This window comes from Homo sapiens, chromosome 10, assembly GCF_000001405.40.
Source record: "Homo sapiens chromosome 10, GRCh38.p14 Primary Assembly".
Lineage (NCBI taxonomy): Eukaryota > Metazoa > Chordata > Mammalia > Primates > Hominidae > Homo > Homo sapiens.
In genome coordinates this window covers 273,245-300,004 of record NC_000010.11, presented here as the reverse complement: position 1 = coordinate 300,004, position 26,760 = coordinate 273,245, and the positions used below count along the sequence as shown (strand labels likewise).

The following is a 26,760-nucleotide window of genomic DNA, read 5'->3' as shown; positions in this document are numbered from 1 at the left end:
CTATTTTTTTGAGAGTAGTTATCCTAATGGGTGTGAGATGGTATCTCGTTGTGGCTTTGGTGTGCGTTTTCCTAGTGATGGTCTTGTCGAACATCTTCTCTTGCTCACTGGCTATTTGTATACCTTCTTTAGAGAAATGACTATTCAAGTTTTTCCACACTTTTTAGCTGGAGTGGTTTCTTTGTTTGGTTTGCATTTAGTTTTTTTTGGCTATTGAATTGTAAGAGTCCCTTACACATTCTGGATATTAGCCCCTTAACAGATATGTGATTTGCAAATCTTGCTTTCATTTCCTGGGTTGCGTTTTCACTCCGCTGATTCTGTTCATTGTGTCCTTTGATGAACAGAAGCTTTTAATTTTGATGTCCAGTTTATCCTCTTTGTTTTCTGCATATACTTTTGGTGTGGTAGCCAAGAAATAAATGACATATCCAACACATGACTGTTCCTTTAACAGTCTACAGTTTTATCTCTTACATTTATGTCATTGATCCACTTTGAATTAAATAATTTTAAATATTTTTTAAAGGCAGGGACACTATTCTTCAAAAATGTCAACGTCATGAAGATAAAAAAGACTTTGGAAATCTTCCCAATTAAGGCAAGCCAAAGAAATGACAACAAAATATTAAGCCTGATGCTAGGGTGAGCCCTGCACTCAAGGCGGAGCTGTAGGGACATTACTGGAGTAATGGGAAGAATTGGAAGAGAGGCTATAGATTAAATATTGGATCAATATTAAAATTACTGAAACTGATAACTGTTCTGTAAGATAGTATTCCTATTCTCAGGAAATCCACACTTACCTTGATGTATTTAACTTATCCTCAAATGGTTCAGAAAAAACTGTGTGTGCACATTGTGTAAGATGGGGTGGGCAGTGCAAAGTATAAAGCAGATGGAACATAATATTAACAAGCAGTGAACCTGGGTGTTAGAAGTGTTCTTTATACTGTTTTCATTCTTGCAAGCTTACTATCATTTTGAAATTAATTTGAAAAAATTTTTACACATGCTCATAAACATATCAAATCTATAATTATTTTTCAAGTCTTTCTAGTCTTACTCAAAAAGGGAAAGTTGATCCACATTAGTCACACTTCATGGTGGAAAGTGACGGAAACCAAGTTGGACCATTTCAGCAAGCGAAGATTGAAGTAGGAGAGAGGTGCCTGAGGAACTGGAGGGTTGGGTGGAGGTGCAGCCCAGTGACAGGGAGGGTCTGGAAGCAAAGCCCAGAAGATCCTCAGGAGTCCCCTTGTCACCTTGCTTCTCTGCCCTGTGCACACTTCTGTGCAGATGGATCAGCTCTCTGTGCTCATTCCACCTGGGAGAATGCTGCAGCCCCACGGTCATTAGACCTCCTCTGTCAGACGGCTGCCCATCACAAGCTAATGGGCCTGAGGCATGGGCTTGGTCACCCAGAGGCAGGAGGCTGTGCCCTCCATGAGGCCAGCAGTGTCGCATCTCAAAAGCCAAGAAGAGAGCACACACCCTCTCCTCTCTGGCATGGGCTGAGCAGAGCGATGCCTCCAGAGAGGGCATGTGGAAGGGACGGGGAAAACCTGCAAACGTGACCCAGCTAAGTGCGAGGTCACCATCAGTGATGAGCAGGGGGGCTTTGATATGACGCCATGGGAAGGGCGCTCATCTCTAAAGCCCTTTTCCAAAATGCCTGTGATCCGTGTCTACCCATGAACAATGTTAGACAAGTCCCAACCAAAGGGCAGCCTACAAAACACCTCACCAGTCCCCTCAAAACCGTCAAGGTCAGCAAAACAGGGACATTTCTGAGAGACTGTCACAGTCCATAGGAACTCAGGGAGACGTGACGGCCAATTGTCATGTGGAATCCTGGGTAGGATCCTGGGACAGGAAGGGGATATTAGGGGGAAATGAGGAAGGCTGAGTAAAGGATAGATTTAAATCGTCTCACTGTTGGCTTACTAATTCTAACTAATGTTGGATATGTGCGCATTCTGAGACTGGGGCATATTGTAGGGCAGTGTGGGAGCTCTACCATCCTGCTCAATTTTTCTTAAATCTGAAACTCCTAAAAAGTGTATTTTTAACTTTTTATAAAATTAACACATAATTGTGCAACTCATAGGGTATATGTTTCAATACATATAACATGTAGTTAGCAGATCGGGATATTAGATCGGGAGCGTGCATCATTTCTTTGGGAATGTTTGGTATCTTCCTCCTAGCTATTTGAATGATAAATTACTGTTAGTTATAGTCATCCTGCGGTGGTACAGAACACTGGAACGTATTCTTCCCAGCCAGCTGTGATTTTGTTTCCTTTAACAAATCTCTCCCCATCCCTCCCTTCCCAGCCTCCAGTATGCACTGTTCTACTTTGTATTTCTATGAAATCATCTTTCTTTAGCTTCCACATATGAGTGAGAACGTGTAGTATTTAACTTTCTATTCCTGGCTTATTTCACTTTATTTAGTGTCCTGCGCTTCCGTCCATCTTGCTGCAGATGACAGGATTTCATTCTCTGTTATGGCTGAATCCTATTCAATGTTATATACCACACCTTCCATATCCATTCATCTGCTGTTGGACTCCTGGGTGGATTCATATCTTGGGTATTGTGAATCAGGCTGCAGTAAACAGAGGAGTGCAAATGTCTCTCCAGTACACTGATGATTTCATTTCCTTTGGATAGGCGCCCAGTAGTGGGATTGTTGGATCGTATGGTAGTTCTGTTCGTAGTTTGGTGTGTGTGTGTGTGTGTGTGTGTGTGTGTGTGTATGTGGTGGGGTGGGGGGGGGTTGGTTTTGTTTTGTTTTGTTTTGTTTTTGAGACAGTCTCACTCTGTTACCCAGGCTGGAGTGCAGTGGCATGATCTCGGCTCACTGCAACCTCTGCCTCCCCGGTTCAAGTGATTCTCCTGCCTCAGCCTCCTGAGTAGCTGGGACTACAGGCCACTACGCCCAGTTAATTTTTTTTTTATTATTATACTTTAAGTTCTAGGGTACATGTGCACAACGTGCAGGTTTGTTACATATGTATACATGTGCCACGTTGGTATGCTGCACCCATTAACTCGTCATTTACATTAGGTATATCTCCTAATGCTATCCCTCCCCCCTCCCCCCACCCCACAACAGGCCTCAGTGTGTGATGTTCCCCTTCCTGTGTCCAAGTGTTCTCATTGTTCAATTCCCACCTATGAGTGAGAGCATGTTGTGTTTGGTTTTCTGTCCTTGTGATAGTTTGCTGAGAATGATGGTTTCTACCTTCCTCCATGTTCCTACAAAGAACATGAACTCATCCTTTTTTATGGCTGCATAGTGTTCCATGGTGTATATGTGCCACATTTTCTTAATCCAGTCTATCATTGATGGGCATTTGGGTTGGTTCCAAGTCTTTGCTATTGTGAATAGTGCCGCAATGAACATACGTGTGGATGTGTCTTTATAGCAGCATGATTTATAATCCTTTGGGTATATACCCAGTAATGGGATGGCTGTGTCAAATGGTATTTCTAGTTCTAGATCCTTGAGGAATTGCCACAATGTCTTTCACAATGGTTGAACTAGTTTACAGTCCCACCAACAGTGTAAAAGTGTCCCTGTTTCTCCATACCCTCTCCAGCACCTGTTGTTTCCTGACTTTTTAATGATTGCCATTCTAACTGGTGTGAGATGGTATCTCATTGTGGTTTTGATTTGCATTTCTCTGATTACAGCTTATACAAAAATTAATTCAAGATGGATTAAAGACTTAATGTTAGACCTAAAACCATAAAAACCCTAGAAGGAAACCTAGGCAATATCATTCAGGACATAGGCATGGGCAAGGACTTCATGTCTAAAACACCAAAAGCAATGGCAACAAAAGCCAGAATTGGCAAATGGGATCTAATTAAACTAAAGAGCTTCTGCACAGCAAAAGAAACTACCATCAGAGCAAACAGGCAACCTACAGAATGGGAGAAAATTTTTGCAATCAACCCATTTGACAAAGGGCTAATATCCAGAATCTACAAAGAACTTAAACAAATTTACAAGAAAGAGTCAAACAACCCCATCAAAAAGTGGGCGAAGGATATGAACAGACACTTCTCAAAAGAAGACATTTATGCAGCCAAAAAACACATGAAAAAATGCTTATCATCACGTCTAGCTAATTTTTGTATTTTTTTAGTAGAGATGGGGTTTCACCATATAGGCCAGGCTGGTCTCGAACTCCTGACCTTGTGATCAGCCCACCTCGGCCTCCCAAGGGTATGTGTGTTTTAAGGAGCCTTCATACTGCTCTCCATAGTGGCTGTATTAGTTTACATTCCTACCAACAGTGTATAAGAGTTCCCTTCTCTCTGTATCCTCACCAGCATTTGATATTTTTTGTCTTTTTGATAATAGCCTTCTTTTTTTTTTTTTTTTTTTTTTTTTTTTTTTTTTTTTTTTTTTTTTTTTTTTTTTTTTTGAGATGGAGTCTCGTTCTTTCGCCCAGGTGGGACTGCAGTGGCGCTATCTCGGCTCACTGCAAGCTCCGCCTCCCGGGTTCATGCCATTCTCCTGCCTCAGCCTCCTGAGTAGCTGGGATTACAGGCGCCCGCCACCGCACCCGGCTAATTTTTGGTATTTTTAATAGAGACGGGGTTTCACTGTGTTAGCCAAGATGGTGTCAATCTCCTGACCTCGTGATCCACCCACCTCGGCCTCCCAAAGTGCTGGGATTACAGGCGTAAGCCACCGCGCCCGGCCAATAATAGCCATCTAACTGGAATGAGATGATATCTCATTGTAGTTTTGACTTTTGCCTCCCTAGTAACAATAAGTATAAGCAGCTGAGCCGTCCTTGCTGCTGCTCTGCCTGTGGAGTAGCCATTCTTTTATTTCTTTATTTTCCTAATAGACTTGCTTTCACTTAAGAAAAAAAAAAGACTTCCACTTCTCTGATGATTTGTGATGTTGAGCATTTTTCATGTATTTTCTGGACATTTATTTCTTTTGAGAAATGTCTGGATCATTTGCCCATTTTTTAATCAGTTTTCTTTTTGTTTTTTGGGTTTTTCTTTGCTGTTGAGTTGTTTGAGTTCCTTATATATCCTGAATATTAATCCCCTGTCTGGTGAGTAGTTTGCAAATGTATTCTTTTATTCTGTAGGTTGTTTTTTCACTTTGTTTCCTTTGCTGTGCAGAAGCTTTTAAGTTATTTATAATCCTATTTGCTTATTTTTGCTTTTGTGGCCTGTGCTTTTGAGGTCTTATTCAGTAAGTATTTTTTTAAAAACGAAGGAGTTCCCAAAAATAAATTTTTTTTTTAATTCGATGCAAGTGAATGTCATGGAAACTTTATGAATGGACATAAATTGATAAACAATTTATCCCACTCTTTGCCACAGAAACGTTAATGCATTTTTTTCTTCTCTTTTTTTTTTTTCTTTTTTTAGATGGGGTATCACTCTGTCACCCAGGCTGGAGTGCAGTGGCATGATCCCAGCTCACTGTGACCTCTGCCTCACAAACTCAGTTGATACTCCCACGTAGTTGGGACTGCGGGTACACACCACCACACCTTGCTCATTTTTGCATTTTTTGTAGAGATGGGGTCTCGCCACATTGCCTAGGCTGGTCTCAAACTCCTGGGCTCAAGTGATCCTCCTGCCTCAGCCTCCCCAAGTGCTAATGTTACATGCACCCAGCATATTGATGCACCCAGAGTATTGATGCATGTGATTAGGGTCTTAGGTAGCAGGGGTCTGTGCTCGGGATTAGCGTTCAGAAATCGAGCACCTCTGAAACTTGGAACCCATCTGGCCTTGGAAGAAGATGGAAGAGGGCAGTTTGGGCTGCAAGGTCGGCTCAGTCCACACCTGCAAATGGTGTCTTTTATGGGAAGAAAACACAGAGCTCTCTTCCACCCGAGGGAGAGAAAAGGGAAAAGGATGGACAGAAGAGTTTGGATTGGAGAGGGTTAAGTTTACAATTTTATAAATGAAAAAAGTACACAAAGTATGCTTTGGTACTTCATTTGTGCAATGCGGTTAGGTTAGATGAAAACATTCCTCTGTTTTCTCTCGTTGCTCATTTTTTGGGTGATTGGTATCTGTTTCTGGACTTCCCTGATCCAGATCTTCTTCCCCTTAGCCTTTTGTGGTGGCCACCGTGGGCCGTCTCATGCAGTGTCTGTAGCTTTTGTTAGGGCTTGAGTCCTGGGAGGACCTCCTGTAGAAATAATAGTGCATTTGTTTTTGGTTTTGTTTGTGGTTTTGGATGTGTGAACATGATGCCTGTTATTTTTAAGCACTGTTGTTCCTTGTGATTTTAATGCTCTTATGTGCTTCACTGGTTGCAAAGTAAGTGGCAAGATATTAAAATCCCAACTTTGACAGTAACACTTGCCTCATCCTCTGTGTACCTTAGCTGCCAGGAAGCTGCAGACTAGACTCAGTCACAGCATCTCTGTTAATTAACTTGAAGTTTTTGAGTATTTAATTTCCCCTCTATCTTTGGGGATTTTTAAAAGCTTATTGTTCAGATGGTCTTATTATATTGGGTATTTTAAATGCTTCAAATTAATTTTGGAAGAAGGTGTAGTTTAAAATATTAAGTAAAAGTTTTGGTTGTTTTTTCAGCGGCACATTCATAAATGCCATCCTCACACGGTGAGCGTGGCTGTGCTGCAGCTCAGCTTTCCATGACCGGGTTTCCCTGCGTCCTGTTTGCTCCCCTTGAAATGCCACAGAGTTGGCACTGAGGACAGCACCAGCTCCGTCTGCATCTGGTCTGTCACGCTGGTTTTTGAGATTGAAGGTGCTGAGGATGCTGGACCCTTCAGGTCATGAGTGACCATCAGGCCAGTGCTGAGTAGTGGTGTGGGCAGGCAGGGTGGGCTCCCAGTGGATGCTCTGCTGACATCTGCATCAGATGCCCCACCCCAGGGCATTGGTCAGGGGCTCCAGCTGCACTGGTCCGAAGCAGTTGTCTTTCTGGCGGGGGCAGTGCTGCCGTATGCCGGCGCACTTCTGTTGGGGTAGAGAATGCTATTTGTTTCTTGGTTGTTTTGACGTCTCCAGAGCTGGGGTGCTGATGGATTCTCTGCCAGCTAGCGGGTGCTGCCAGGGGGTGGTGGTCCTAGGCAGAGGGCAGCTGTGCTCATCCGCCTTTGCATGGCTCAGACAAGGCTCCTTGCCCCTGGGTGAGAATCTCAGTTGGAGGAAGAAAGAGTCTCTTCTGTAGCTTTGCAGGGAAGGATTAGTGAGAAGTTCAACCATGGCTCTCTTTAGACAAATGATGAAAAACCTGATTATCTCAGCAGCACCTTCCCACCTGTTCCCAGGAGGCCAGACGTGTGATGCCAGGAGGCACGAATGAAGAATGAAGACCTCACAGACCTCTTGTGACAGCCATGCATTCGTTCCCCACTCGGTTGCACGGCGCCATCAGGGCTTCAGCCTTCCGAGACGTCGCTTCTAGCAAAACAGGTTGCTAAGTTTGAGTCCATTTGAGGGCAGTTCAAGGACAGGGCAAGTTAGAGGCTAGTAGCAAGTTCCCTCATGTCAACTCTCTATCTCTGCTTTTCTAGCAAAAGTCCGAACTTCAAGTCCACTTGACAGCGTAGGATGAAAAGACAGTTTATTCCCCGCAAGTCCAAGATTTATACTGGACTGGAGAAGAAATAAGGGGTGAGACAGAGGCCAGGCTGGAAGAGTTTATTCAGACACACAGTTAAATTGTAACCTTGATGTGAAAGTAGGTGCACTGTTTAAAACCAACTTTCACCTAGGGAAGGGTGTCAGCAGTAATGGTTCGTGGAGCCGATTTGGGCAGCAGTAATGCACGTTGGAGGCAGCAAGAAAAGTGGCACAAAGTTCCGGATCTGGAGCTGACAGGTTTCCTCAGCCCTGAGTTGTCTAAAGCTGACTTTGCAGTGTGACCTGAGCGGCAGGTGCTCTCACAGAAGGTGAGCTCTGCTGGACGCCAGCCTCGGCACAATGGCTCTTGGAAGATGAGAGTCTTCTTACAGCATGACTTGGTCCTTTTGGTGGCTCAGTCACACTTCCCGCAGGAGAGGGCCAGCCTGGCTGAGCCTGTATTTCTCCCTCCCCCATGGAGTCCTCCTGCTCCCCTCTGGCTCCCGGAGTCCACAGACCTCTGCATCTCCCTCCAGCAGCCCACCTCTCGTGTGCCAGGCAACGCCTTGGTGTTAACCTTACAACCTGGTTCTAACTGAGAAGTGTTAATAACCCCAGCTACTTATAACTCACGCACCACAAGCACTTCAGATTCATAGCTCATTTAATTTGCCCAAACCTGGAGATGTCTGCATATGATCCCCAGTTTGAGAAAGTCAGCACCGAGCAGCACACTTTGACCCGGGTCTTAACTCAGCCCACTCTGTAACTGTGGAGAACACTACTTTTGAGAACAACCAAGATCACCTGGTTTCATTTCTATGAGTTCTTTGCACATGGAGGGAATCAGCCCTCTGATGTGTATGTTACAAATATATCTCCTAGTTCTTTAGGAAGACATCTCTTCTGCCCTTAGATACGGGGTAGCTTTTTTCCTCTCTTGGCTGTGTGGATATTGTTCCCCTTGGTGTAGAAGAAGGAATTCCTGTGTGGCATTTGCTAGCAGGATATTTAGCTTTTTCATCCAGCACCGACCTGAGTGATTTAGCACCCTGTGCCTGTTTTCATACAAAACACACCTTTTTCACATGAACCAGAGAGGGAATTCTTGATGATCTTCCGTGTTTTCAACACTTCAGACAAGGTTCTCAGCTGAGATTCCGTCTTGCTTCGCTTCCTGAGGCTTAGGATCAATATGGGGGCAGAGGCTGGAGAGAGTGAAGGACATACGGCCGGAGGGTGAGGCACTGGCCAGCACACACCTGCCCAGAGCCTCACCTGTCTTGTTTTCCTCCATGCCCCCTTAGTGGCTGGGCACAGGCCAAGGTAAAAACACACAGGGATGGAGATAAGGAAGATCTGGGAATGCTGCACAGCCTGGGCCCTGCCTGGCAGAGCCCTGGGGCATTTGCCCATCACTTTTATAACTCCAGAGCCTTGTTTCCTGAGTGACCCCCTTACCCTGTCTGAAGTCATCCCTGTAGCGACAGCTCCCAGAGCTGCCAGGTGCATCTGATTCCGGCCAGCGACAGGATCTCAAACGTCCTAAAGTAGAGATGACTGAGGATTGGCCGCAGAAATGGAGATGGTGTGTCCTAAACAGCCCTCGGTTTTGGCTGAGTTTCACTCCTTGGCTGGTCACCTGGCCTTTGTAGGATGCTGAGGTGGGGGCCTCTGACCCCCTCCTAGTTCTTTCCCTCTCCTCATCATCTCCAGGTGCCCCTTTCTCACCGCTGCCCCGGCCAGCTTGGCCTGGCTTCTCTACTGCTGTCTTCATTTGGGGTGAAGCCCACGGTTCGCTGGCTTTTGACTCCACTTGGCCGCTCAGATCAGGGCACATCTGCGGGCCTCCTGGCACGGAGGAAGGAGTCAGCATCATTGTCCTGGCATGGCCATGTCCTGCCGACATCCCAAGTATGTGCATGCCACCTCTGGCTGTGAGCTTCTCCGTGGTCAGTGTCCAGAGGAGAGCACATTTGTGTTGCACCGCAAATTCTAGGTATTCTCATGGCAAGTCCTGAATTAGCATAATGCTACCAGGCTCCTAAAAGTTCTTTAGTTTCTTGCAATTCTGTGTTAAAACAGCCAGTTAAGGCATTTTTGGAGGTTAGCGTCATCAAGCCTATCGGCGTGTTCCGTAAGAGTTTGAATCATGTGAGCTGTTTGGCAGCCCTCATCAGCTGTTGGCATCAAGGTTTCCATTTAAGACAGACACCACAGAGTTAATGGTTGTCATCTGATCTGAAATGGCTCCAGTAAGTCTTTCTCCCTCATCAGACTCCTGCTGATGCACACAGGCACCCTCCCCAGCGTCTCCTCTCTGTTCTCCCGCAGAGGAGAAAGTGCTGCTGGCCTTCCCTGTTTCCGCCACAGAGGATCCTCCCCGGCACGGGTGCTTCTGTCTGCAGCAACCGGAGAAGACACAGCAGGCTGGGGGGAGGAATTGTCCTGTGGCCTCAGTCACTCAACAGCCAGAGGAGATGGTGCCCCTGGCTGCAGACAGCCCTAGGTCTGGCAGGAGCAGTGCAGCCACATGTCTGGCACGTGGAGGACGTCAGGCCGGTGCCACCTACCACACTGCTGGGTGCCTCCCACTGTGGCAGCAGAAACACCCCCATTCCCAGAGGGGTGCGCACCCTCCGTGGCCTCCCTCGTGCCACGCAGAGGGCTGTGCTGGACTGGTCCCTCAGGGCCCGGAGACACTCAGGCTTCTTTCTTGGTACCTCCTGCCCCTTCCCTACCCCTCATCCTCCTTCTTGGTACATCTGTCAGTTACAGAGGAAGACTGCTGTGTCGAGTGCATAAGAGTGGGTTCTTGGTGTGTTTCAAATCTCAGTGAGGGCTGGGCATGGTGGCTACACCTGTAATCTTGGCAGTTTCTGAGGCTGAGACAGGAGGATCATCTGAGACCAGGAGCTTGAGACCAGCCTAAGCAACATAGTGAGATCTCCTCTCTACAGAAACTTAAAAGTTATCCAGATGTGGTAGTACACACCTGTAGCCCTAGCAACTCAGGAGGCTGAGGTGGGAGGATTGCTTGAGGCCAGGCGGTCAGACTGCGATGAGCCATGATTGTGCCACTGTACTCCAGGTTGAGTGACAGAGCGAGACCCTGTCTCTTTAAAAAAAAAAAAACATCACTGGGGGATGGTAGGAAGGGTGTCTCAGGAGCCCACAGGCCCCCTGCCCGCACCCTGTCCCCAGGTGGGAGGCATGTCGTCCTGTGATTCACCATCTTCAAGCCTTCAAGCACTTTCTCCTTTGCTTTATTTTGTTTAAATAAAAAAAATTGCCCCTTAGGTGAATGAAGAGTGTGATGGTCCACTAGGCACCTGGTAAAAATGCAAAACCAGTAGTGAAGGCCTCAAAATAAATAATGCACCTGGGAGGACTGTTAGCGAAGCTCTGGTTGTGGCCTGCTGCGATGTCCTTGGCAGTTCTTAAGATTAAATTATCATTATGTATTCTTTGAAGTAAGAGTTTCTTTTCTGAGTACCTTTGCCGTCAGGGCCCAGCAATTCTCTCTGCTCCTGTGGCTGCGATGCACGCGCTGTCTTGGGAGGGCTCTCGGCCGCTGCACACCTGGCCCTGCCTTCCACCCGCAGGACAGCCGTCGGTGCTTGAGGACCAGGCAACACAGTCGTGGGTGACCCGCAGCTCTTTCAAGGAAACTCTGTAATCCGTGTTCTTTTCCTTTTCTGAAAATGCTAAGTGGACTCATGGTTACTTTCAGCTCAGAGTCATTTTCCCAGTTACTTTGCAGGTTTGAGAGATGCGGCTTCATCTGCCTTCTCTGTGGCCCTCGCTTCGGGTTCAGTTTCCTCTGCTGCTGGGCTGCTCTTTCTGCAGCTTCGTCCTTGCTGTTGGATGATGCTCAGAATCAGCTTTCCCGGACAGCTGCCAGGCTCGTGACCTCGTGTGAATTGGTGAAGGGGAAAACTGGACAGCAAACACATCTAGGAATATTTTCTCTTTCTGTTTGCAGAGTCCGCTTAGTGGAAAGAGGATCCCCTCATAGTCTGCCCCTGATGGAATCGGGAAAGGTAAGTATTATAGGAAGAGGCACGCATTTCTGTATCCGTTCGCTTCTGACTGTATGGGCTTTGAAATTTTAGGAAATGTATTTTTTAGAATGTTTTTTCCAAAACAATTTCTTGAAAGTAACATATCAGTGAGTATAGAAACTCAAAATAACAGTGTTTTAAACAAGTTAGACTTTTTTCCTCAGGTAAAAGTTAGGAAATAGGCATCTCCTCCTCCATGAAGCCAGCAGAGGCCCTGGTGCCTTCAGCCTCGTTCTGCGCATTGGAGCCCAATTACCAGGGGCCCCTCAGGAGCTGAAGCGGCTGCTTCCGCTCCAGCCATCATTTCCACATTCCAGCCAGCAGGAGGAGAAACAGAAAAAGAAGAGAACAAAGCATGCAGACCATAGAGAAGGTTCCCAAGCTGTCCTACACTGAAATTCCATTGATCAGAATGTGGTCACATGGCCACACCTAGCTAAAGGTTGGGAACTATTGAGATATCAATTCTGAATATGTAAAGGCCTACCTAAAAATCAGGGTATCTATTACTATGAAAGTAGAAAAGAATGGTTAACAAGAGACAACCAGTAGTTTCTGCCACAGTGGGTGTGTTTTTTGTTTCTGTTTTTGTTTTTTTGTTTTTTTACTAGAACTAAAGGGCAAGAAAGATATTTAAACACCTAAATAAAGACTCTTTTTTTTTTTTTTTTTTCCGTTTCGGCCCCAGTTGTCAGATTCCTTCTCCATTGACATAATTCTAAGAGCATCTCATGTTGCTTCTATTATAAAGTTGCCTGCATGGCTGCAAGTTAGAATGCTTCACAGAGTTGGTTCCAACAGTAGGAATGTGCTCACCATCCATCCTAACAGTCTGGCGGACCATAGTCAGCAGCAGAATCCAGAGCCCTGAAATCTCACTTCAGACTTAAGTGAGATTTAACAGTGTGACTATTCCAAGACGTTCTGTGTTTTTACCATAAAATGTTTTGCCTTTATCTCAATCATAAATGTTAGATGAGCTGATCTGAGGCAGGCTATATTCAGGATTTCCAGAATAAACCTTTGATTCCTTATATAAGTGGTATCAGTGGAATGTGAGATATTTCTAAGGTAAACTTTAAGAAGGAAATTCTGGCCAGAGCCAGTGTCTCATGCCTGTAATCCCAGCACTTTGTGGGGCTGAGGCTGGAGGGTTGCTTAAGGCTACAGTAAGCTGTGATCATGCCACTCCAGCCTGGGTGACAGAACTAGACCCTGTCTCAAAAAAAAAAAGAAGGAAATGCTTAGTACTGACATCTATTACAGTAAAAGATGTTTACCTGCAGGAAAAAGTTCCCCAGTATCTTGAGTTGAAAATTCGGTGGAGATGAGCTGGAGATCCACACGGACGTTCTAACGAAAACCTGCAGACTTCACCAGCAGTTGACCCACAATCTTTCCCTTCTGGCACCACCAGAGCAGCTGCCTACTATATCATTTTGCCAAAAGCATTTTGGGTTATCTTCGAGTCCATGCTTACCCCTGAAAACGTCACTATGTGACTCCCTTCCTTCAGCGATTACTGCAAGCATCACCCTCCATCCATGTGTGTGCCATGATGTGAGATGTAATATTGACTCTATGTAAATATCTTAAATAACTTCATTGAAACAACTGAAAATTCCCATTTTTCAAGGTCAGGCTGTGTTAAACATTATATCATTTACCATGTTTTTGTTCAAACATTATTTTCATGATTTTCAATAGATTTCTCTTAGCTTTATTGAGGTATGACTGACAATCAAAATGTTTAATTTTGAGGTCACCATAACAGCATACAATATTGACAGTTACAGTGAGAATGTGATTGTGAGGCTGTGATTGTGAGGCTGTGGTTGTATAATGGGTCATAACTATGTGGCATATAGTTTTGATTTAATTGCTTTCTAAACAGTCTTGAAAGGAAATGGCATAAAGATGAGATTGAGGTTGGCTTGTGTGTAGTCTCTCCCTGTATTCCTCCCATTGACAAGAGACTTTTCCTCTCCCAAATAGATACTTCCAGGGGTTCGGATTATAATTGCCAACCCAGAAACAAAAGGACCGCTGGGGGACTCACACCTTGGAGAGGTGAGTTGAGTGTCCTCCGAGATCCAGGTTACTTTTCTGTTATGTATCCTTGGCTTGCCTTGACACCATCAGAACTGCTCACATGCCCTCCATCTGCCACACACCGGTTTGAGCTGAGTGAGTTATGATTGCCTGGGAAATAGCGTGAGGTAAGCTTTATGGCTCAAATGAGTCCATGAAAGCTCACAATTACAAAATGGCACTTCCTTAGGGAAGTATAATAGATTGTCCTCAAATAATTCTGAAAAGATTTAAACACATAATGTGTATGGACTGAGTTTCTTTATTTCTTGGCTCTTGAGTTTGCTTTCCACGTTCCTGCTTTTATTACTGAGAAGTCCTTCACCAGGAAAGTGGCAGAGACCTCCACAGGAAGTAGTGTACAAACAACAGCATCAGGACACAGTAGCCAAGAGATCATGTGTTTATTTCAGATCAGAAAGCAAACAGTGGAACTTGACACCTTTGCCTCATTGTGTTCAGAATGAGCCCGCCCTGGCTGGCTCTTAACTCCCTGCCACTGTGCCCCTCCGCACTGGCGGGATGCAGCTAGAGAAAGACGCCTCGTGGAGCTGTGTGGCCTTGGTCTCCTCTCTTGACACCTCATCTCAAGCAGGCCCTGGCACTGCTGGGCGTCCCCAGTCCGAGAGGCCACTTGTCTCATGCGTCCTCCTTCCGCCGCATTCTCTCTGGCACTGAGCTTCCTGCTTCTATGAGGAAGCAGAGGGCACTGGAGAAGAGCATGTCTGGAGCCAGCCTCCTCCCACGGTGGCAGCACGTGTGCCCTCCCTCCGGTTACCCCGGCCTGCCGTGCCGTTGGACAAAGCCCCATGTCTGGCCAAGGACACCCTCACTCCCCTTATCACCTGTCCTGTCCCATGAGGCGCCCCCCTTCCTGAATGGCTCCCAGCAGCACATGTGGGAGGCGTGCTAAGAACTGGCATCTTATAAACAGCACCAGCCCTCCTCCTCCTCAGCCCTGGACGCATCCCCAGCACATGCAAGAGCACGTTTCTACACGCACGTGGGTGAACACCTGACCAATGAGCAAGCCCTCCCCAGTTCTCACGTCCCAGCTTGCTTTGCTTCTTGGGCCTTGTGTTTTTTTTTTTTTTTTTTGGCCCCTCACTTGACCTCTCTCAGTCACATACATGAAAGATCAGAACTGCGGAGATAAAATTCTGTGCAGCTCTCACTTAGGAGTTTCCTTTAAATGTGTTCCTAGAAACAAAGCTGGAAGCAGAGCCTGCTTCTCCGGCACCTGGAGGGTGTCCTCACGGGTGCTGCCCGAGACGTAGGCTGGGCCAGGGTCAGAATTCTCTTCCCTCTGAGGGTGGCCAGAACTGGCGAAATTTCCAGGGTGACTTTCTTATTAAGAATGTGTGTTTTTTCCGCTTTATGAGGTTAATTGAGAAAGTTATATAAATTAAGGAATGCACTGTGATGCTTTGATGTATATACATATTATGAAACAGTTACCACGACCGAGTTCTATTATCCATCAGCTCACATTGTGTGTGTGTGTGTGATGAGAACATTTAGGATCTATTCTGTTATCAAATTTCAATTAAGTGATATAGTATTATTAACTGTAGTCACCGCACTACATTTTCTCCCCATAACCTGTTTGCCCTCTAACTGAGGGTTTGCACCCTTGCCCGTCATCTCCCCCTTGCCACTCTGAAGTCCCGGCTAACCACCGTTTACCCTCCGCTTCTATGAACTCAGCTTTTTAGATTCCACATGAGTGAGGTGGTGCAGTATTTGTCCTTCTCTGTTCTGGCTTCTCACTCAGCACAACGTCTTCCAGGTACATCCATGCTGTTGCAAATGGCAGCATTTCCTCCTTTTTTATGGCTGAGTAATATTCAGTTGCCTTAATGAGAATTTTCTTTGTGTTAGGGAACAGAGGACGGCTGTCATTTCCCTGATCTGATGGTGCACTGTCTCTCTCAGTTTCACTTTTTCATTTGTTGTGCAGGCAGTGAGTGCCTGCCATATGTGAGGCACTGCTCTGGGGACGTGGGTGCAGTACTAAACCAGTTTCTGACTTCCTGGAACTTGACCACTTTTCATTGTCAGTAAAATAATGGAAACAGCCAAGCCCAGAATGTCTCCACAGCAAACACTCCAGAGTCTACAAGGCCCTGCCTCTCCTGACCCTTGCTGTGTGGGCACAGCTGCGTGGGCATCTGTGGAACTTCACTGGTTTTGCTTTTACCCAGCCCTGTCCATGGTTCTCCGTAACCCACGTGGCTATCGCTTTGACTCACCATATCAGTCTTTGCTTACCTATTTCCCCAAATGTCAGACATCAGGCATTTTCGTTTCCGGTTTTTGGTGTTATGTGCCTTCATCCCTTAGGTTTTGTTTTTCTGTGTGTTGTTTTATTGCAATATATGTCCAAAAGTATTAGCTAACCAGGTGAAATGAGAAAAGAAATCTCAAAGCTTTTCAGCATTGTTCTTGCTCTTTAGAAATAATCATTCGTTAAAGTGTAAGGAATCTAGTGTGACTTTGTTCATTTGATGTGTATATTTTTAAAACCTATTTGTTAAATCTTCAACTAATCTGCTTTAATTCAGTTCCCCATAGGGATGCCTTGGCTGGTTGCTTGGCCACAAACTTGGTAGACTGCCTTTATTTCAGTATCCTCTGTGTGTCTCTCGAGAAACCCGAATGAGATTAACATCATCTTGGTTATTCAGTCCAAGGAAACGTTTACTATCACTGAATATAATGTACTGAATTGTCAAAGTAGTTGTAGTCTCATTTCCCTGGAGATAAAATAATGTCATCCACAGTGACATTTCCCTCCGTTTGCAGATTTGGGTTCACAGTGCCCACAATGCCAGCGGTTATTTCACTATTTACGGAGACGAATCCCTCCAGTCAGATCACTTCAACTCAAGACTAAGTTTTGGAGACACCCAGACCATCTGGGCACGCACAGGCTACTTGGGGTTCCTGCGGAGAACTGAGCTCACAGATGCAAATGGAGGTGAGAGTCCAGGCTGGCGGCCCCCCCCCAACAGATGGGCAGAGAGGTTAGGCTCCTGTAGATACAGAAGCCTTTCCCAAGGTTTACAGCAGCCAAAGCCAGGAGGGCACGTGTGCTAGCTACAACCCAGTGTGAAAAGAACCGAGTTTAAGAGCAAGAGGAAAGCAAAATGCAAATGTGTCCAACAAGCTGAGCTGTGCATCACATACCCTGTCCTGTCCTGAGAACCAAGAGCTGACTGAAAACCGGAGAGGGGCATGGCTGCTGAGCATGGGCTGCAGTGTCACCCACAGCAAAGTGCTCAGAGTCTCAGACCACAGAGTCTCCTCAGCAAGCCTGAAGGCTGCCTGCTCCCACGGGGTCCATCTGAGACAGAAGCTGTCCCAGTGGCTGCAGGAACGTGCATGCTGCTGCTTCTAGGACTGGGTCTGCCCCTGTCAGGGAAGAGGAGGCCGCGAGGCTCTCGGGCCCTGGTGGCCAGCTGTCTCTGCCCATGCATTCATCAGAGAGTAGGGCCTGGTGCTGCTGATGCTGGTGCCTGGTGTGGAGCAGCCAGGTGGACAGCATTGCCTTTGCCCCATCAGAGGAGAGCAGGGTGAAGCCAGGGGTATTTCATGACATGGACATGTAAAAGTGCACTTGTATAGTTAATTCTTTGCTTATTCCAGAATCCTTTCTCACCTCCTTAGTTCTGCTAAAAATAGAGGCAGGACTTGGCTGTTTCACAACAGTGGCAGTTGAGGTTCCTGGTGAGATCTTGACTCACCAAAACCTCAGGGAGATGAGTTTGCAGACATCAGTAAGGCTTCCTTACATACCTCTCTAACATACCTACAATGGCCTGGCCCAACAGGCTATGTTTAGGAATCATACAGAAATATCCTGGCATGACATTTGCATTGTGGGAAATTATAGACTAGTTTGAGGCTACTGCCTGAGGTTCCTGGAAGCTGCAAAAGCTGGTGGCAATTTATAGTCCTAGAGAAAGGCCAGGAAAGCCACGTCCCGCTGAGTCCTGGAAGCAGGGATACCCTGAAGGACGTGTCCCTGCCACAGGAGAAGAGGCAAAGCTGCTGTAGGGGGCAGAGGCCGAGTCAATGTCTCCATCTTTCTTTGTCTGATTTAAATTAGAAAATACTTATCTCTGTCTACGGCCATACCACCCTGAACGCGCCCAATCTCGTCTGATCTCGGAAGCTAAGCAGGGTCGGGCCTGGTTAGTACTTGGATGGGAGAAAATACTTAACTCTGATGTTATTTTATATGTCAATCATGCCTTTCAAATTTTCCCTAATATGCTTACTACCTTATAAAAATTTAGGACATATTTCCTTATTAAGGAAAGATAGGACCTGACCACTTGTTGTCATTGTCATTATTCTGAGGTTTGCAAGAAGGATAGAAATAAATTTCCTGGCTCTATGAGCTAAGGAAATGTTCATGAACAAGAGCAAGAGCTATGCTTTCTTTTCCCACTTATACACAGAATTAGTAGCACAGAGAAGCATGTGTGGGATAGAGTCACAGAGCTGGTCTGACTGTGGCTGCACTGTATCCCGTGTGATCTTGGGCAGACGAGGCCTCAGCCGATGGGTCCACGGAACTCAGACCGCTGGGTGCCGACTTCGCCCCTCAGTTGCTCCCGATGAACATGCAATCAGGCAGTTGACTGGATATCGAAGCTGAGCCAGGAAAGATCTTCTCCCAAAGCACAAGTGTAGAGGGCGCATGGCGGCTTTGCAGCCAGCCTGTGGGGTACTGGCACACGAGCCGAGCACTTGCCAAGGAGCTCCGTGGCAGAAGGAAACAAACGTCCCTGGATCCGTGAGCCCCTTCCTTTGCATCCCTGTCTCACTTGGGGGTCGTTTTTAATCTTTTTTTAAGAAAAGAAGGAAACGGCTTGAGCGGCATTATGGGGAAGCTTACGCAGGCTGTCATTACTCCACAGAGCGCCATGATGCCCTCTACGTGGTAGGGGCACTGGACGAAGCCATGGAGCTGCGGGGCATGCGGTACCACCCAATCGACATTGAGACCTCGGTCATCAGAGCCCATAAAAGCGTTACGGAATGGTAAGTCGTGAGCTTGCAGCTTGTACCCAAATCAGGAGCAGAGTTTGTGAAGCATTGAGAATGTGGAGAGCACGGCGGTGGAGGAGAGTTTTGTTAAGGTAGGGAAGGGGGTGCGATTCAACATTTGACTATAAATCTTTATCTTTTGGGGTTAAAGCAACAAAAGAACATGCCACATGTAGAGTTAATGTACCATATATTACCTGAAAACGATAGACTTCTATTGCCGTGAAAACTACTTGACAACATTTTCCAGGAAGCCAAATTGTTTGGTTTTTAATTTACAAAATCATGATATAGGAAGAAAACAAACCTCACACATATGTAGGCACAGAAAATACTTTTATGACTGTTGACTTGGGAACTGGAAGTAACATGAGACATGGGAAAACTTCAGTGAGAAGGAGAGGCAGCGTTTGTCCAGACCCCAGAAGAGACTTCCAAAGGAAGAATTGCTTGAGTTAAGGCTGACAGTGACAAGGTGTGTGCGTCGCACCTGCTGCCTGGGGGCAGACTCTGCTCTGGGCCCAGGTGAGGACTCTGAGGCTGGGACTTTGTCTTTCTCTCTGGCCCATTTAATCTGTTGTGAAGTGCTGAGTATGTCAATGGTGCTGCCGGAGATTCAGCAGTAGGTTCTTCTGAGGTGTGGGAGTGGATTGGATGCTGGAGTGCCGTAAGTTAAGTCGGCCAGGGCCGGGGAGTTTTACAGGCTTGTTCAGTGCCTTTAGATTGGCAGTTTGGATGAAAAGTGACTCAACACCGTTGGCTTTAGACTTGTTCATTCCCTTGATAACAGACCGGGTGCTAACTGAGGGGCACCTGGTGAAACTGGTCTCAGTCTCAGGTCAGAAACCCTGAGGGAGGTATGTTCTGCACTCTCATGAACAGCTCTTCTGGGTTGAAAGGATGGGTTCTGAGATTGTTCCTTCCTCCTCTTAGCTAGCTGAGATGCAATAAAGGCTGGTACTTACTGCCATTTGCTGAATTTGAACACTAAGGCCTTGGCAGAATTTACAAGATCAAGTCTGCATACCTGTCCGTGTTCGTGTGGCTCAAGTTGGCTAAGCCCCTACTCTCAAAAGTCCTCAGATTGTCGATTTCCTTGACACTTCTCTCCTTGAGTATACAGAGAAGACAGAAACTCTAGGAAGACTTTGGCCCAGAAACTCGGCCAGGGCCTACCTTATTTTCCGTCTAAATAGCTACGAATATCAGTTACAGCCTTCCGTTTTTGTATTTTTAAGAAAACAATTTTAATTGGCTTGTGTGACCTCCCTCAAGCATTTTCTGTCTGGTTTCCCGCTAAAAGGTGTGCATCGAGGGCCTCGCTGGTGCCCTCTGTGGGCTTCTAGACCGTGGTGCTTATTCTGTAACAAATGTCGCTGCTGTTACCTGCCATGTGACCCCCAAACTGGATCTGTCCCTCACCGGGTCAGGGGCTCACATGCCCCTTGCCCACACAGTGTCCTTTGAGTGGACTTTTGAATGTTTGAGATGATCCAGGTACAAACTGCTTTGCTCCACCTTCCCTCTCCCAGCCTCCCTGCACTGCCCCTTGGGGCCACCATCGGCTGCTCCATGCTGAGAAATGCGGCTGTGACACCCAGCGCTGTGGAATGGGACTCTCCATGTTGCCAAATTCAAGCCAAACAAACTTTCTCATTTCTCATCAGTTGTTCTCAGCATTAAATAGCGTGCACAGCTCCTGTAAAAGCTCTGAGAGTCACTGGCACCACCCCATAGGTCCCTGGCAGAGGAGATAGTGGAGCAAGCACACCCTCGGCCAGCTCTGTTCCTCCAGAGAGCCAAGCTGATTCCTCCGGAGAGCCAAGCAGATTTGGATACTCTAGGACTATTCCATACATTTCAAATGCCGTAATAAAAGTATACCAAATGCGCCTGAGACGTCTATATCTGTGATATGACAGATTCACAATGTGGGCTCACATGGGCCATGTAGAGCAACATTTTAACATCACCAGGAGCAGTATGACAGGAATTAAGCGCCAGCACGTCCTCTGGGAAACAGCTCTTAGCATGCTCCATAGGCATGCGGCAGTCACAAAGCAAAATCCAGGAGAACTGTTGAGAATTTCCAGGAAAATTCTCCAATTTTCCCTTTCAATTTAACATAGGTTGGCCATACTGAATAAAATATGCGTTTTTTTCCTAACTGACTTACTCTCCCACTTAGAACAATAGTGAGTTTCCTAAAATATCTCCTGCCTCAAGCTGGGATAGAACATGTTTGTCAGGTGCGTGAGAGCAGATACGAGCAGCCCTGGAGCCTGGTCTCCATCCAGCCCACTCTGCCCGGGAACCTTCTGGCCTCCTCAGCCAAGCAGACCTCAAGTACCAGGCTCTGTGAATGTCAGGGCCCTTAAACAGTTAGTTCCAAAAGCCATTAAATATCCTTTAAACTGTAAAGCACCGGGTTTTTGCTTCTGCCAGTTGGGCAGACTTAATCCTCTGGTGCCTGTCCTGCTGAAAGATGACTCGATCCCAGATAAAACATTTCTGAGTGAATCTTCCATATTCCAGAAGACTTTTCCCTGCACATGGGTTAGCCATGGCTGTATGGCAGCCAGCCCATGCTCAGTGCTTTAGAGAGAGTTGTTACAATGTCCCCACATCTGCGTTCAAGGGGCTGGCTCAGCTGGGGCAAGCAGCTTAGCTGGGCACAGGACTGGTGGCTCTTCTCCACGTGTTTCTTATCCTCCGGACCCAAGGGCCAGCCCAGGTGTGTCCCCATCCTTGCAATGGCACAGGCACGCCAGGAGAAGCCCCCATATCCAGCCCTCCTGGAGCCTCCACCGGCATTCATCTCCCTAACACAGGCTGACCAGGTTCCATGCTGAGCCCAAGCCCCAGGACTGGGAAACACACCCCCACTCAGGCGCACTGCACAGACAGAGGAGCAGGCACCCATGCCCTTGGCCTCCGCACGCACGGCCCTCAGCAGCAGAGCTGGACTCGGGTGCACAGACAGAGAGGAGTAGGCACCCATGCCCTAGGCGTCCACACGCACGGCCCTCAGCAGCAGAGCTGGACTCGGGCGCACAGACAGGAGTAGGCACCCATGCCCTCGGCGTCCACACGCATGGCCCTCAGCAGCAGAGCTGGACTCGGGGCCACCGCACAGACAGAGAGGAGTAGGCACCCCTGCCCTCGGCCTCCGCACGCACGGCCCTCAGCAGCAGAGCTGGGGGTCTGGAAGCAGGAGGCACAGGGCTGCCTTGAGGGTACGAGGCTGATGGCACACTGCACTGTTCAGTGAGGGCATTGGTCCTCCAGGCAGCAGCAAAGAGGCAGCACTGGAACACAGACTCCGCTGGCCAGGTGGAGTGATGCTGTGCTAGAAATGGGAACTCGGGAAGATGGTGAAACAGTCGCAGAAGCCACCGAGAGAGAAGGCTGGTAGGAAACACCGACAGGTGCTGTCGCCAGGAAGTCTGTATGGGGAACGATTAGTGGGCGGCAGACGGAGGACGTGGAGAGGCCGGAGGAGACTGTCGGGCAGTGCTCAGGCAGGTCAGAGAGAGCCAAGTGGAACTTTGAAACCACGGCTATTAAATAAAGCATTAATAAACATATAATGATGGCTTTCTTTTCTGTCTTTTAGTGCTGTGTTTACCTGGACAAATTTGTTGGTGGTTGTGGTTGAGCTGGATGGGTCGGAACAAGAAGCCTTGGACCTGGTTCCCTTGGTGACCAACGTGGTCCTGGAGGAGCACTACCTGATCGTCGGAGTGGTGGTCGTGGTGGACATCGGCGTCATCCCCATCAACTCCCGTGGGGAGAAGCAGCGCATGCACCTGCGAGACGGGTTTTTGGCAGACCAGCTAGACCCCATCTATGTGGCCTACAACATGTAGTCTCGTCTCTTGGCTTCCATGGACTTTTCTAGAGATGTAGACATTGTTCTCCGTGTCCACTGAAGCGTGCAGACACAGGGCAACACTCACCAGAATACAGCCATTTGTGGTGAGAGTGGAGGAGGAAGAGGAGGAGGAAGAGGACTTCTCACAGCAGCCACGATTGGCATGGGGGTGAAATGTGAATTTACCACTGAATTTCGCTCAGAAGGACTTTGGATTACTGCCTTCAGTTTGTTGGAAAAGCCCATTTCAAAACTTTCTTTTCTTTTCTTTCTTTTTTAATTATTGGATAATAAGTGCTTTCTTCGTAAATGTGGTATTTTGTTAAGCCGAAATAGCAATTAAAAAAATATCCTGCCCTCCAGATGGGTTCTTTTAAACAATTTATGTAGTGTGACAAAGAATTGTTTTCTCTGTTTTAATGTGTCATGAAATCTTAATGACATGGATCTGTTACTAATTTAAGCCATTGCTAGATCTCATCCTTTTAGGAAAGTTTGAGGTACGAGAAAACCTTCCAAATAGCACCTTCCAATTAGATAATAGCAGCTTTCTTTGTCAGAAATGTGCTGAAGAAACAAAGGCTGGTATACGGCCTTCGAAGTTAGTATAGAATGAGAAGAAATTATAAATAAGGTGTATTTCGGCAATTATCTTGCAAATATCTTTGTACTAAACTAAAAAGATAAAATAAGTTAACTTCCTCAATATGTAATTATGTACAAAACGTTTAATTTATTTTGATCTCTTTAGAACTATAAAAGAGAAAAACATTCAAGAATATTAAAGTCTTGTAATGTTTGCTAATATAAAAAAGTGTTGTATTATCTTGCGTGGATAGTATCACAACAAATATATATATATGAAATATAAATTCACTAATGAACAAAGGAGATTTTAAAGTTTAAGATGCAGAACTTGTCACTTGCATGGTGTGCCCCCCGTACTCACATACACTCTGCTGTTGCCAGCAGTCGCAGACCGCAGGAGCCCTGTCTAAAAGTTTCTTCTAGAACCAGAGACCAGCAAGTGAAATTATTGCCATCTCAAGGATGGCAAAAGAATTCAAAGCTCAATGTGCACTATTTTTTTCTTTGCTGTGGGACAACAGTGAATGTGTTTATGCCAGCGTGTGCTGATGATACTGAGGGGCTTTAGGTTGGCAAATAGCACTGTTTTCTTAGCTGCAAGAATTCATTGCACAATGTTTTTCATCATTTTTGTTAATGTCATCTTTTTTTGGTCCTTGCTACGAAAAGGAATGCGATTCTGTGGTCATTCGCACTGGGTTGCATTGATTCCCCCTCTGATGGCCAATGTGGAGTGGACAAAGTGTCCGGAACTCACATCGGTGATCGTCCCCTCGTCTTAAGACCCAGCCCGCTCTGTGTGAGCCTCTGGGGCTCCCTCGCTCAGTGAGCACAGTTCCCCGGGGGTTCATGCCAGAGCTCCGGCTGAAGCAAGAAGTCCTCCAGCTGCGTCGTTTGCCGCCTGTGGACGAGTGCGCCCCAGTTTCTGCCCTGGCAGCTCCTGGCCACACCTTCTCAGAGCTCACCTGTGCACTTCTAAATTGAATTGGCCCACGGTGTCCAACCAAGAAGGAGCATCTGCACTCCGAGAAAGATGTGTTCTGTAACTGCCCCAGTGTGACCCCGCAGTGGCTCTCGGTGCTAGATATGCATGACTAAGATTGATGCTGGGCAAAATGTAGATGATCTTTCATTATGTTGTGGGCAGCGTCTTTCTCTGCCTTTGCTATATGCAGTCAGCAGTAAGCCTTTTGCTAAAAGAGTTTTGTTTGACTTCTGAGATCCAAGGCTGATTGTTGTTAAAAAAAAAAAAAAAAAAAAAGTGGCACATTTAAAAAAATGTGTCTGCATATGTGGTGCATCCTTCCATCTCCACAAACCATTTGATTCTTGAAATATTGTTTGACCTCATTGCTGTGTGTGAATATTTCTCCACATGCTTCAGATGCACATTCCTAGTCTCTGCTTCCTAAGGGGGGAACCACCACACATTGGGGGGAAAAAAGACATTTTCCTACACCCACCCACCTTGTTGAAAGGGAGGTAGGTTTGGGGCTTCAGGCCAGGCACTGACTATGAAACATTAGCTGCAGTGTGCAGGACAGCTTTGAGGTCCAGCTGAAGTCAGGAAGCAAAACAAATGTAGATGTCACTTCAAACATAATTTCAACTGTCACCAGATCAACTCTACATTCAAGGAGTGTGGACGCTGCAGTGCAGTTGTGAGGGCAGTTAGCAGCCGCCTCTTCTGCATCCTGTCAACTCTGATTAGTTAGAGTTTAGGCTCAAAAGAGTTGGTGGACTGAGATTGAAATTTGGTTGTGCAAGAGAAAGGAAAGGAGACACTTAGTACCACCAGTTTCAGCAATAAAGAAGGGTCATTCTGTATTCAAAATTGTACTGTAGATAAATCATTCATGAGATTGTAAAAAATGTTTGTCTTGTGACCTTGTGCTTTTGAAGTCAGACAAAACCGTGTAATCAACTTGCACAAAAAGAGGGTACACAGTGAACATATAAACACAGACCTAATCAAACAGGAGCAGATTCCTCATGGTGCTTGTTTATTATATATATTTAATCCTGCTTGACACTTTACCCAAGGGAGATGGTCCCTTTTATCAGTTGAATGTTAGCAGCGTTATTTCAGAGTGTGGTGACTGGTTAGAGAAACTCATGTACTCAACCAGCCACAGTTTCAAACAAAATTTTTATGTGCAAAGGACAGCAACCTTCTTGTATGTTAAACCACCAGTACGCTTTGTACATCTGTGATAACGCCTGTTTTATATTCAAATGAACAAATAAAAGCTTTTATTTTTGTTGCTCTGAAAATAGCAGTTTCTTAATTGGTCCCCTGGAAAGATGTCTGGGACAGCTTTAATCCCGGGAAGGAAGTGACTCCTACAGGGAAATGTATCTGACTCTGTTTACATAATTTGTTGCATTACTTAGTACAGATAATCATACTTTGAAAAATGTTTAAATTTTGATGTGGGCATTTATTGCTAAAAATAATTCCTATGGCAACAAATGTTTTGTGAAATGTTTTTTTTAATTCTTTTAAATATATCTAAATATATTTGTTCACATTTTGCTGCAAGTGTACAGATTATTGGTAATTTGGGGACAAACAGCGTGAGTCCTGTGTGCAAATGCTTTCTATCAGCTGTATCGTAGGGAACCTTTGCGTGTCAGGAAGTACGAGTACTTGACTGTTCCACCCCAAATTGTCTTTATCCATTTGACAACCAAAAGCTGCATCTTTTGCCCAAGATCTGGGAATTCTTATGGCTTTGTCTTTGGGAAAGCAGTAGCAGATCAACTGGCCTTCAGACTAGTGGTTCCATGAAGATAAGTGTTTATTCACAAGAAAAATCAATGGAGCTAGGGCCGGGCACCGTGGCTCACGCCTGTAATCCCAGCAATTTGGGAGGCCGAGTTGGGCGGATCACGAGGTCAGGAGATTGAGACCATCCTGGCTAACACAGTGAAACCCTGTCTCTACTAAAAATACAAAAAAAAAATAGCTGGGCATGGTGGCGGGTGCCTGTAGTCCCAGCTACTCGGGAGGCTGAGGCAGGAGAATGGCATGAACTCGGGAGGCGGAGCTTGCAGTGAGCCGAGATCACGCCACCTGCACTCTAGCCTGGGCGACAGAGCGAGACCCTATCTCAAAAAAAAAAAAAAAAAATCAATGGAACTAAAATCTTCACACATGGCACCAGGTGTAATCTGAGTGCCTTTGTGTTCGAATTTCACTTGCCTCCCCTGACCCCAAACTTTCCTTCAGGACAATCCCACGCTGACTGAGAATGAGGCTTTGGGTGTGTGAAAGTGAACGGCTGGTGTGAGACCTGCAGGGCTGCATCGGATGAAGCAGAAGATAGCGAGGGAGAGATGCTTCTTCACAGGCTCCCGCTTCTCAGATGGCAGCCCTCACCGTGACCGGTCAAGTACAAACCAGGTAACCAGGAGAACTGCTCCCGTGGGGCCTCCTTTGGGCCGTGCATGCGTGCATTCCAGCGCCGGTGTGTGTGTGTGCCAG

General features: G+C 46.4%; 1 protein-coding gene and 1 pseudogene across 9 annotated transcripts in view, besides 1 other annotated feature; both read left to right on the top strand.

The window, feature by feature from the left end:
* DIP2C (disco interacting protein 2 homolog C) overlaps positions 1 to 25,804 on the top strand; it is a 415,468-nt gene extending 389,664 nt beyond the window's left edge. For all 9 annotated transcript variants that reach the window (NM_014974.3, XM_005252427.5, XM_005252426.4 and 6 more), the window contains 5 exons: positions 11,584 to 11,641; positions 13,658 to 13,732; positions 16,559 to 16,733; positions 18,682 to 18,805; positions 22,428 to 25,804. In NM_014974.3, the coding sequence (NP_055789.1) occupies positions 11,584 to 11,641; positions 13,658 to 13,732; positions 16,559 to 16,733; positions 18,682 to 18,805; positions 22,428 to 22,680 (685 nt within the window). In that variant the 3' untranslated portion in view covers positions 22,681 to 25,804. The remainder of the gene's footprint in view (positions 1 to 11,583; positions 11,642 to 13,657; positions 13,733 to 16,558; positions 16,734 to 18,681; positions 18,806 to 22,427) is intronic.
* Positions 16,123 to 16,192: an enhancer, noted in NCBI's record as "active region_2891". NCBI's record gives its function as "activates an Ori minimal core promoter by ATAC-STARR-seq in GM12878 lymphoblastoid cells {active_cell/tissue: GM12878}" and the evidence as "EXISTENCE:reporter gene assay evidence [ECO:0000049][PMID:35858748]".
* On the top strand, positions 17,880 to 17,969 carry RNA5SP298 (RNA, 5S ribosomal pseudogene 298; annotated as a pseudogene).
* Positions 25,805 to 26,760: the final 956 nt, after the last annotated feature.